This window comes from Homo sapiens, chromosome 3 (assembly GCF_000001405.40).
Source record: "Homo sapiens chromosome 3, GRCh38.p14 Primary Assembly".
NCBI lineage: Eukaryota > Metazoa > Chordata > Mammalia > Primates > Hominidae > Homo > Homo sapiens.
Genome location: NC_000003.12, coordinates 131,551,440 through 131,564,087, shown reverse-complemented (window position 1 = coordinate 131,564,087; position 12,648 = coordinate 131,551,440). Strand labels below are relative to the sequence as shown.

The window sequence follows — 12,648 nt, the reverse complement described above, 5'->3', positions numbered from 1 at the left end:
TTCCCTCTGTACTAGAAAAACTAAGTTTGTACCTTGCTCACGCTGGTCACCAAACAAATCCTTTCTCAGCCTTCTTCTCTCAATTGACTTGCAAGACGATTGGATAGCAATTTTGGTTTCCATTTTGTGAAGTCTTAGCCTGTGCCTTGCTACTCAAAATTGCTTATGCACTAGCAGCATTCTTAACCTACTGAATTTGAATCTGCATTTAACAAGATCCCCAGATGATTTGTGTATACTTTAGAGTCGTAGAAGCACAGGTCTATTAGACATTATTACATCTGATCCTCACATTAACCCTTATATAGTATGTATTCCTTAAAAGAAGGGAATACTGTACAGGAGGTTAAGTAATTTGTACACTATCACGTAGCCAGAGGCAGGACTTGAGCCCAGGTCTACCCACTCCACAGCTTAGCCTGTAATCACTATGCTTCACTGACCTCAAAAGCTATTGGTAACTTCAGCAGAGGGTGTGGCACATGTATGTAGCCAGGTGCATGTGTATGTTTGCATGTATGTATATAGAAAACATGATTTTAAGATCAAATCAATGTTCTATTTATTCTTACTTGATGATAAATATTGGCCTTTCCTACCAAGAAAATTCCCTGTAAGGAGTATCTTGCATAAATTACGTTAAACTGAATGTATTCTGCCTTTCCAGTAGTTTTAGAATGAAGTAAAGGAATTTAGGTGCATGCATAAGGAAAGCTTTTTGAAATGAAACCAATGTAAATATAAATATGTGTAAATCTCAGTTAACTCCCTGGTGTGATTGTAAACCAAGGCTAGTTAGTAATGAGCAGCAACAAATTGACCTTTCAAACCAGGAAAATAAAGAAAGTAACTCCATCCTTTAGGTTTCAGAGGAATTTTGTAAGACAGCATGATTTCTGTTCTTTCTAGTGTCATAATTGGTGATAATCATACTAAAAACCTGTTATCCTCCACACCATGGGAACTGACACATTTTAAGGACTAGAATGTACAGGGAAACTAATAGGACAGGGCAATGGGAAAGGTGCAGTCAATCTCCTGCCTGCCTGTGTCTCTGGATTCAGCTTGGTCATCACCAGTAACTCAAATGTAGTACAAAGCCAGTTGGGGAATGAATGAGCAGGTCCAGTAAAATCAAAGAGCTTTAAACACTCAGGCCCTTGCTGATAATTCCTCTCCTGTACATCCAGGAAAAAAGTCAATAGTTATTTTAAATTATCTTTTTGGAAAAACACCTCTTATACTTAATCTTGAGGTATTGACTATGAAGATAACTTGAATTTCAACACTGATTTCTTCAAGCCCCAATGCAGGCAGTGGGTGAGGGGGTTCCTAGAGAGGTTTATATCATATGAAGATTTCCACCAGGGAGAGAAAAGACTGGCCAATTGCATCCACTACATTGGAAACTTCTCCAAACGTCCCCAAGACACAAAAACAAGAATTTTCTTCCTTCTTTATACCACACACACAGATGCATACACACATTAGTAATCTAGTAAAATAATGTGTGCACATATTGAGAGACAAGAAGGGGGAGAGTATCTTCAGGATTCTCAAGTTTTCAATCTTGAAATGCTTGCAAAAGATAAAGTAGGTAAATGCACTTAACACAAATGTCAAACAGTAGATGCTTAATTAAAAAGTTAACTCTGAATCTGCGGGGAAGAAAGCAGTCTCATAATAAATTACAAACAGAAGACTGATGGGTTTTCTAGAAATGAAGATAGTAAGCCTCAGAGCCCTCATTATAGTTCTGCAGCAGATTTAGTGGATGATCTGGAAGAAGCTGCTGAACGTCTCCATTTCCTGATCGCCTCACATGCAAAATGCAGAGACTATAGTCAGAGTGGCATGTATATCTTGTAAAGCTTTTATCCCTTTGTGAGCCAGACAAAGTCTGGGGAGCATTTTTTGTTCCCTCAAAAATGCAGATTCAATATAAAAATAAGATATAAGATATGAAACCTTAAGAGTTACATGAAGAATCATCATAAGTGATTGTTTTAAAATTTTTAATAGAGTAAGATTGACCCCAACTGACCAAGAAAATCAAATTTCTACAGCTCAGTGGAGCAATTCTTTTTTCCATATAAAGAAAGCAGCTCAACATTAAAATGGGCAAATACTTAAGGAAGAAGAAGGAGGATTGAAAAACTCCAATGCTCCTTTTAAAAAGCTCCCTAGAAGAATGTGTATTGCAAGCTGCTCACTTGAAAACTGACAAGGTTCCGCTGTTTCTCTTTTGTGTGGGTGGATAGACAATAGACAGGCAGAGTCAGGAAATTTCAAGTCGGGGCTCTGGAATTAATTTATTCTCACATCAAAGTCAGTGTGGTTGGGGCTCAAAATGAAACACTTGAATAAAAACTGACAGAAGGCATTGTTCCCCCTCCTGCAGTGACACAGAGGTTTCTAATCCCCATGAGCCTTAGAAATTCCTCCCAGCTTCTGGCAGCCAAGAGTTTTCTTTTTGCCTTGTACAGTCATTGCTACCAGGTCATTATGAGGTGATCCATGAGGTAGAACAGCTTGAGAGATGCATAAAACTCTTTTCAGGATGGCCTTGAAGGAAAGCTTCCCACAGACAGCTTGTCCTCAAGCCTGCCTGCCTGTTCTGTCCTTCAGCCTCTGAAAGAGATGGTGCTGCTCATTTCCTCTGCCTTTGACCACCCACCCCAGCACAACTACTTGTACACACACACAAAAACACACACGCATGTATGTGCGCACACACACACACACACACAGGCCCACACAAGCTCAAGTTGTAGCACTTCTCCAGCTCCTGTATCCTGGTCTCCCTAGTCTGCTCAAAGCCAAGGTGACATCTTTTCCTTGGGGCCAGTAGGGATATGGGTCTCTGAAAACCTGAAATGTTCTCTAATAAAAAGCATGGTCTGTCTGCTATCAAGACAGTACAGAAACTGAATGTGTACATTTCCTGGAAATATGGATTGCCATTTTATGGAAGTGTCTATCACAGAATGAGACAGATATCAGAAACCAAGGCAGCATTTCTCCATGATGTACTAGTTATGGTATGAGAAGACAAAGTTAGAACTGAAACCCAATCTGACAGGTATTTTCAAGTGTAGAGCAGTTGCTTAGTGATGAGAAGACAGTTCAAATCACGTGCTACCTTGTCCACTCTACACCAGTCAGTGGTCCTCAGCCTTGGCTGTACATTGAAGCCATTCGAAAAGCCTTAAAATGTGACGATACCTGCACCCCACCCCAGAATCTCTGATTTAACTCTCTGGTGTGCATCCTGGAAATTAGAATTCTTTATCCTGCTAGGTATCCAGGGTTGAGACCCAGTGTTAAATCATGAGAGATGGCTCAGATGCAATGGCTAAGGTCCTATGCAGCATCTATTTAAGCCCCAAACACCTCACGGGAAGCTGTAAAGACAGAAAAATTAATGAAGCACAATTTTTCCCCAAGTAGCCCACAATCTCACTGGGCAGAAACACGTGTAAATAAATTACAGCCCAGCATGGCCGGGGAAGTGTTGCCCTGTGTCGGGATGGGAACTGTATAAAAGAGGGAAGGGCTAACTCTGTCCTTTGTGGGAAGAGGGGTGGTCAAGGAGGGAGTCCTGGGGATGATAATTTCTGGGCTGATCAGAATTTGGCCTTCAGCTTTGTTGTTATTAGAATGTGGATGGATTTGTTCTCCTTTTTCTGAATCATTAGACCAGACAAGCCTTCTATGAGGACAGAATCAACAGGGATGATAGAGAGAGCATGGGGAACTGGTGACAGTTAGACCCGGGCTCAAACCCCAGCTCTGCTACCTCTGTTGTCATAAGATTTGCATTCTATGGGCCTTGGTTTTCTTCATTGTAAATTGAAGATGTATCGCTTCCCTTGCAGAGCAGTTATAAGGATTAGATATAAAGCAGCTGGCTAACACAGGTTCTACCTTTATAAATACTCAATAAATGTCAGAGGTGATTATCTTTAATACCCTAGATTTATGTTTCAAAAATGATCTGAACACAAAGGGAGACAGAACTATTGTGTCAGTTCTAAAGTTCACTTTGGACCAATGATCTTTAAAATGTTTTTGCTCATGTACTTTTAAAAAAAATATTAAAATGTATAGCTGTCACATTTTTTCACTGAAATCTGACATTTTTCATCATGAGTTTATATAGTGATAAAGAATGAAAATTCTAATGTGTTGTAAGTTTGGACATTTTATAATAAAACTCTTACATAACTCTTGTGACTGAGTCAAGTGGAATCTAAATGCCGTAACTATTTGATATCCACCATCATCCATTTTGTAAAAAATGAGCAAGCTCTTCAATGTGAGTTGAGAATTGTAATTGTTTCTTCCTTTTCATCGACTTATATTTCCATTCTCTTCCCTCCAAAATTTTATCCTAATGTATCTTAATAAAATTGGTTTGAAATTCTGTTATAATCACTGTATATTTCTGTAATAAAATTATAAATTTAAAACTTTTTAGTTTCTAAAAATTTCTAAGATGAAAAGATTCAAAGTATTTTTTAAAATCTGAGCTTTTATTACAATTATTACTAGTGCATAATTGATCAAAAGAACATAAATGTACTAGAAATTTCAGTGTAATTTTTGCCTATAAAAACCTATCAGAAATCAGCTCTTACTGAAACAGATAATGGGGTGTTTTTCCAATTTGTTTATAGACCTGTGGATGAGTGCTACCTATTACTAGAATGGGAGAGTCAAGCATCAATTCTAACTCAGTTTTTTGCTCTTATCATCAATGTAAATACTAAGAAAACCTGTTCTTATAAATAAGTGTATGGAAATAAATAACTTGTCTAGCAGTATTACTCAATTCTTTCAAGTTTAAGTTATATACCAAAAAAAATTACATAATGGCCAATCATCAAAACGTTTTCTTCAATGAACTACCAGCTGACATCAGCACCTGCCAAAATTTATTTAAAGCAAAACTTGGCAACTACCTGACTTGCAAAAGGATTTTTTCCCCTAGTGAATCATTCATGTTTAGAATTATTCTTCTTGTATATGATGCTACAGAGTTTTCACACTCTGGAGCAATGGACTATGATGGTTAAGATTCAGAATAGGTAAAAGAGAAGGATACGTGAAAGGGAAGGTATGAATGGAGAACAGGTCTCTCCATCACAGGCATTCCCAGAATATCAATTTCAGCAAAAAACACATATGGATGTAGAGGAACTGAATACTGATTTCCCTTTAAAAAAAAAAGCCATGTCCTCATATCCCCAGAAATGCTTTGCATTTCCAGGTACCCCAGTTTTAAGACCTCTGCTTCAGAGAACAGTTTTTATTAAATGTCTAGGTGCCCTGAGATGCCATATTGCTGTGAGCTTCATTTCCTTATGGATACAGTAATTTTTCTTTACGTTTATTAATGTTTTGATTTATCTCAAAATCTTCAACAGAAAGGAGAAAATGGTGATTAAAAATAAATCTTCCATCTGGAGGTCATTTGACAATAGTCATTCCCTAAGAAGGTCAGGACAGCTTACTCATTACCATTGAAGCACGTAGGGTTTTTTTTTATTGTATTTTATACTATTTTATTCTGGTTATAAGAAAGATTGCCTTTACCCATGTGGTAATATACCCCTCAATTTTCCAGATTGTCTGTCTTTGTCAGTCATTTTCCCAGCAGTTGCTAAATGGCCCTTTGCTGGGTGCTGAGTGGATCCAATCTTGAATTCTTAAAGCGTTAGTATACAGATGCTTTCTTTTGTGTTCAACTTGCTTTCTTTTACTTCTTGCATAATAAGACTCTTCTCTGCCTAGTTTTATTTTAAAACAGAAATAATGGATGTTTAAATCCATTGTGCTTAGGCTTAAAACTTTTTCTTTAGTGTGTTTATTAGTTAGAGGCTTTCTGGTGGCTAAGTTCAGAGAATTTATCCCTCCTGGCTCATTAATTATTCCCCTTGTAGGTGAGGCATTTTCCCTACCTTCCTACTCTTGAAACTCGATTACATAGCAGTGCATCATGCTCAGCAAACATTGAATCCCCAAAAGTGGCTTAGAAAGTATAAAAGGAATATCATTAACGCTAGAACACCATAGGGATTAGAAATGGATGGAATGTTAGAGCTTACCCCTCCTCAACTCATCAAAAAAAGAAAATAAGGGTGTGGAGACTCCCAGTTTCTCTATTTTGACTTCTGGGTCATCCTCGAGTGTGAAGGACCAGGATCCATCCTCCACCCAGAAAAGCCTTACTTCAGGCTTAACTAGAAAGTACCCTAAAATCCCCCGCACAGATCTCTTCTCACACCTACCCATGCTTGTTTTGTTTAAGGAGGAATTGCTGAGGCAAAGTATTTCAGTATGTCCAAGGACCCAGAAGTATATTTTCTCCTATCTATAGCTAATCCTTCATAAGCTGTTGTGAGTCTCTATTTACCCACATTAATACCTTATCTAATACCTGCTAGATGCAATGCACCACAAAGCCTGGATTGACCCAACAGTGAGGAGAAGTGGGAGTTGGTGATTTTCTGGAGAATTTAGACTTCGATTTCAAAGAATTCCAGCTTCCTTGTATCTCCCAGCCCCTAACCCCAAATTTGATACAATTGGCTATGTTTTGGTAAAGTTTTGTCAAAACCATCATTGGCTAGTAATGAGCTCTTAATCAGTCAGGTGGTGATAAAGGAGAATCTAGCTTTGCTACTTTGACTTTTCTGTCAGCCTGGGGATTAGTGGGGCTCATCCCTTTTTCCTTATAGATGTTTAGGACAGTGAGCCCTAACCTGAATTGACTGAATATACCAAGAACAGTGAAATGTAGGAATTGTTCCAAAGAACAAATCTCAGTTAATTTCTTAATGGGAGAAGAAATAAAAGGTAGATGACATGAGAAGGACACGTCCTTGCCAAGAGCCCTATGGCGACAGCCACCCGACAGCACAACTATTCGATTAAAGAGGGTCTTATTTGTTGTCTAGGCAGGGGGCCAGATTACTGGAAGTACTAGCAGAAAATCACATTTAATACTACATATAATCATTAAATTATAATGGTATAACAGAAAGGTATGGGCTTTGGAATCACACAATTCTCCTTGGTAATCACCATAGGCCACTTAGCCTTTCTGAGGCTCTATTTACCTGTAAAATGGAAATAATAAGTAGGTGAAGCTTCCAGGATTGTGTGAGAATTTAATAAATAGATACATCATCTAGCAGGGGGCTGGTACATTGTATGCATCAATAAATGTTAATTATTCTCTTCCCCATCCTGTCAACTATAGTACAGTAAAGTTAGAGTTAAGATCCAATATATGTGAATGCATAATTAAGAGAGAAACTCCAGTGTGCATAAGATAACTCAAACCAAAGGATATGTAAGTGATTCTCTCAGGTTTTCACAAGAATCCTCCCTTCTTTTCATAGCCACATTTTAATAATTAAAATTCATGGATTATGTACTCATTAACTACTGAGCACACATTCCATGACAAGTTCTATAATAAATGGTGGGGCAGGGGGCAGTTGAGGCAGAAGACAGTAGAGATATAAAGATTTTAATACCAAAGACAGGGTCTCTTTGAGTTCAAAAAACAAGAAAAGACATGTAAACAACTTATCACCGCTTGTATGTGATAAGGTGGTGGGCACAATGAGTCATGTAGAGGGAACCAAGCTCTGTCAAATTAGCCAAACTTACAAGCTTTCCACTGCTTGTTTTTTGCTTTTGAGATAGAGTCTTGGTCTATTACCCAGGCTGGAGTGCAATGGTGCATTCTTAGCTCACTGCAGCCTCCACCTCCAGGGTTCAAGCAATTCTCTTATGCCTCAGCCTCCTGAGTAGCTGGGATTACAGGAGTGCACCACCATGCCCAGCTAATTTTTGTATTTTTAGTAGAGATGGGGTTTCTCCATGTTGGCCAGACTGGTCTTGAACTCCTGGCCTCAAGTGATCTACCCACCTCGGCCTCCCAAAGTTCTGGGATTACAGGAGTGAGCCACTGCACCTGGCCCCATTGCTTTTTAATATCCATTTCGATTCAGTCTTATCTGTATTTGAACTCTAGCTCTAATTAGTGGCATGATCTTGGGCAAGTCACTTTACCTCTCAAGGCATTTCCCCACCTGCAGAAGGGGAATAACTATCTCTCCTTGTATTTTAAAAGATGATACATACAAAAGGTTCTAACACAGTCAACCATTACAGTTACCTAGTTCATGGTCACTTTTCAAAGGAAACAAAGTTGAAAGTTGAAGTGGAGGCCATTGATGAAAGGGTAGGGCCATTTTATTTCTTAGTATAGAATCTAGCAAAAAAATTAAGGGAGGAAGTTGTAGACTAATGACTGTAATGAACTTAAGGGGCTGTTTCTTGATTTTAATTATCCATGCTATTGCTACCCCCATCACCACAGACAATCAAGAAGCATGAGTCAGCACTGGCATAGCAACATGGCCTAGCAACCTAGTAATGTAGGTTAATGTTTTTCTTTCTCATTAAATGAATAAATGAAGCAACTTCTTGTTTTTTCTTTTCTTCATTTTGGTTTCAGTGACAAAATGTTCCCTGCCTTTGGGTTTGGCGCCAGGATACCTCCAGAGTACACGGTGAGTGAGTGGAGATGTGATCTTCTTCCACTTCACTGTGGTCAAAGGATAACTTGGCTCTTCTTTGCAGCAGTCTCACACTCCTGACTCTGACCTAACTGTGTCAGTAGGGCCTACAGAGTCAGAAATTGTCTTCAGAATCAGTGAGATTAACTCGCCAGGGCCCGTCTCTTGATGAAACCCTATCTCCTGGTATTTTGGATGGGTCTTCTCAGAGGTCCAGATGAAGAGTTTCATTGTTTAGTTTCTTATAAATGTGGTCAGAGTCTGAGAAAACACTCAAGAAGTTGATCTCCAGGGGCTCAGAACCTATTCACTCGTATATCCCCTAGGAAATAGAATTCTATTGGCAATGCCAACTGGGAAAGTCCGTGACAATGGAGTCTACAGACTTTCTTATCCCAAGTCTCCGAGTCCAAGTCTTGTATGGGAGACACAGAGAAGTTTTGAAGAAAGAACTATTATGACTTAGAGAATTGGGAAGCTGAAATGTTCTTCTGAAGACGTTGGAATCCTATTTGGTTTTGATAATGATTTCTCATGACAGAAAAAAGGCAAAGATTGTGTGTAGATAAATTTGCACTGTAATGAGGCTGAGACACTACTGTGATATTCTAGATGCTCCTGTAGAACATTCTCCACAGAGAACTCGTGCCCACTAGGTGGACAGGGCCTTGGAGAGACAGCAGGGTACCTCTCCCAGCCTCCACCTTACCAGTGCCTCTGAGGTCTGAGCTAAGTACAAACAACACTGCCCAATCCTCAATTTCTCTTTTACTGGCTGTGTCTGAGCCACAGGTGAGGAGGTAGATGCTGACATTTGCTCCCTCACTAGAGCCATCATATAAAGGGCTTTCCCCTTAGGTATCCTTTTTGAAAGAGGAAATCAATATCCCTGTTGCTCCTAGAGTGAATAGTGGATGGAATCGCTTGTCTCCCTGACCTGTTCTCCTTCTTTCTTGCCTTGTATTCCACACTGGCCTTTCTGCTGGGCATAGCTACATAATTCTAGAAGCATTTATTAGAAATACAGCTTGTGGAGAGAAAGAATATAGAACAAGAGTTATCAACTGGTGGCCTATAGACATTATTCAGGCCACAAATATGTTATATTTGACACACTTTTAAAAAACGAATTCAGCAATTGCATATATAAAATGTCAGATTTCTGGTTTCTCTTGAAAACCTGAAAGGCCTGGCAACACTAAGATTAAAAGATGACCGATACAAGAATAAGCTGGAGCTGAGGAGATATAGGCCCCTTCAAATCGGGAATGTAAACAGGTGAATGCCCACTTTCTTCATAGAGCTGCTGAATAGCTCAATAGCCATCAGCCCAACTACCCAGGGATTCTTGAGTTTTCACCACATCCCCACCAGGTGGTCTTCCAGCCTCAGGTTGGCCCAACAGGGCTGAGGACAGAGCTATGCACCATACCTTTTTCTCACTAATGACATCTTTTTGGTTCCCTTCCTGGAGTAACTAATCTTTCTTGCTGTTTTCTGAAGTCCTCTTGTTCACTTGATCCCCTAACTCCATCCTTCCTGTCAGCAAAATCCCCTGGTTATTCTTGTTTCAATAGGCATCTCTCACATTTCCCCATTTCGGGTCCCCTAATTTCTCCCATTCCTCAGACAAGCACTGATGATTTGAGCAGCTCAGGTGCCCCCAGGAGAGTTTACAAGGTTGCCACAATTTACTTCTTAGGACAAAATCTGAAAGTATGCATTGAAACTGAAACACAAGCACCTCTCTTTCTTAGTTAGCACTTTCTCAGAAACAGATCTTGAGACAAGGGTTTGGATGCAAATAGTTTATTTAAAAGGTGAGGGAAACCACAATAGAGGTTGGGAAGTGGAAGTCAGCACAGAGTATATTATCAAGTCAGTTACCGCTGTTGGCAACTGGTGCTTAACTCTGCTGAAGAACCCTAGGAGACAATATACAGCACACATGGACCCCAAGGGATAAGGGAGCTGGGATATGTATACATCACCTCCTGTTAATTACTGATTACTCCCAAGGGTCACTTTTAGCCTGTCACTTGGGCAAGCAAGGCAGGCCCTGGAGGCCAAGAAAAAACTTAAGGTAAACAAAGCAAATAAGATGACTGAAGTCAGCTGGCTTACCTGGAAGTGCTAAGAGCAAGGGACTAGGATAAGCACTGAGAGCATCACCGATCACCTCCCACTAAGAAAACAGGTGTCTTTTAACACAGTGACCTAATTTATGGATACCCAAAAGAGTCAGAGCTTGGAAATATCCTTTGAAATGAAATTCTCCATAAAATACCAAATGATTCAATAAAAATGTCCAGATGCCAGAACATCTATCTTGTTTTATCAGGTTTTCGGAAAGAAAAAAGTAAACAATATGTTATTTGACCTTGTGCATAGGTTCTGCCAGGTAGAGGAATTTGTGTTGAAATATTACAAAGTATATTACTTTACTATGTTTCCAAAAGTAGAGTGCAGTCTGTTTTACCTGTAGGTATGTGAAAATCCTCCTGCCCTGTAGTTCTGCATATCATGTTAATGATTCTTAAGTGTCAACTGCTTAGCTGAAGCTTTTATAACCATCGCTATCTTCAGCAGACAGCTTGGGTTATTGAGTTTTTTTGTTTTTATTTTTGTTTTAATCACTGGGTCCAAATAGAGCTCAGCCAAATCTAAGCCTCCAGTCTGTGGCCAGTTCTAACTAGCAGCTATTCAAAGTTATCTTTCTGAAATCTTTTCTTGGATTTTTTTATAAGCCTTATTCTCCCCTCCTGACAGCATTTATCTGATTCTAGAAAATATTCCTGTCACCTCAACTCCACAGGGAGCTTAGAATTCACCCTCCATCTCATATTGATTGTGTAAAGGCTTGAAATGGTTCCTGCTGCTTAACACATAATGAATATAATGGGCATTTGTTTGCAAACTCTAAACCCCAGTGCCTTCTTACTGGATTAAAGTTGTAATTCTTCTTTCTTCCTGTTTTTTAAATTTTAATCGGTGTCTAGGTCTCTCATGACTTTGCAATCAACTTTAATGAAGACAACCCAGAATGTGCAGGTAAAGCACAACGTGAAAGAAAGCCAGTGTCACAGTCCTTCCCTTTGCAGCTTTCCCATTTTAGTTCATCTCTGCTGGTGTAGCATATTAGTTACGATTGTCCACAGAATCTCTGCTTTCTGTATCAACATAAACCATGCTACTCCACAGGCAAGAGAAAGCCATGATAACAGAGCAGGAAAATAAGAACTGGAAAAGACAGAATGCAGAAGAGGTGGTCTTGAGTGTATGGCAATAATGTTGATCCCAGTCTGGGATTCCTTGGGCCATAATAATAATAATAATAATAAATGAAACTTCACCTGGTAGGCAGTGATACAATATCCCTCTTTCTGTTTTCCAAATTTTCATCAAGTGTTTTTTTTTTTTTTTTTTCACAACTTCATCTCTGTGCCGATATAAGGAGAGGGGGGAACATGGAAATCATTTCCCACTTTCGGCATATCGGCCAAGGACATGGCCTCAGCGAGTTTGAACAAGCAGCATCATGGCTTTGTGCCAGAGAAAGCCTGCTCAAAGGTTCTGGTTCATGTTCCATTGTTTCCAGCCAGAATTCTCTGACATGATTTCACAAAATAATGATATTGAAACTATGATAATAATTATTATAATAAATTTTGTTCTAGAATGATTTTTTCTGTTTTCTAACAGAGCCAAGTACCTATGTTGCTATGAAGATCATAAGACATTTTTGCATTAGAAATGTCCATATCTCTCTCTTCTTGTCAAGGAGGAAGGAGGCTAAATCAGGATTAATTCAGATCCAGTAGAGTGTGTAAGGCATCTAGCAGTTAATGGCCAAGAATATGATATCAATACCATTGAGTCTGAACACAGTAACCTCCAAGACCCAATCTCCATTCTGCCATTTTTTCCACTAATGTATTCTTCATCCTCAGTTTATTATGGATTAGACTTTCCTCATCCCCAACCACCCCCATTCTGCAACTGTAAGAGTGGTTTCCCCCACAGCAGAATGAAATATAAACCCTGGTATTCA

General features: G+C 39.3%; 1 protein-coding gene across 10 annotated transcripts in view, besides 1 other annotated feature; it reads left to right on the top strand.

Moving 5' to 3' along the window:
* Window positions 1-12,648, top strand: part of CPNE4 (copine 4) — a 506,038-nt gene that overhangs the window by 475,519 nt on the left and 17,871 nt on the right. For all 10 annotated transcript variants that reach the window (NM_153429.2, NM_001388326.1, NM_001289112.2 and 7 more), the window contains 2 exons: window positions 8,537-8,591; window positions 11,597-11,648. In NM_153429.2, the coding sequence (NP_702907.1) occupies window positions 8,537-8,591; window positions 11,597-11,648 (107 nt within the window). The remainder of the gene's footprint in view (window positions 1-8,536; window positions 8,592-11,596; window positions 11,649-12,648) is intronic.
* Window positions 10,449-10,508: a silencer, noted in NCBI's record as "silent region_14738". NCBI's record gives its function as "represses an Ori minimal core promoter by ATAC-STARR-seq in GM12878 lymphoblastoid cells {active_cell/tissue: GM12878}" and the evidence as "EXISTENCE:reporter gene assay evidence [ECO:0000049][PMID:35858748]".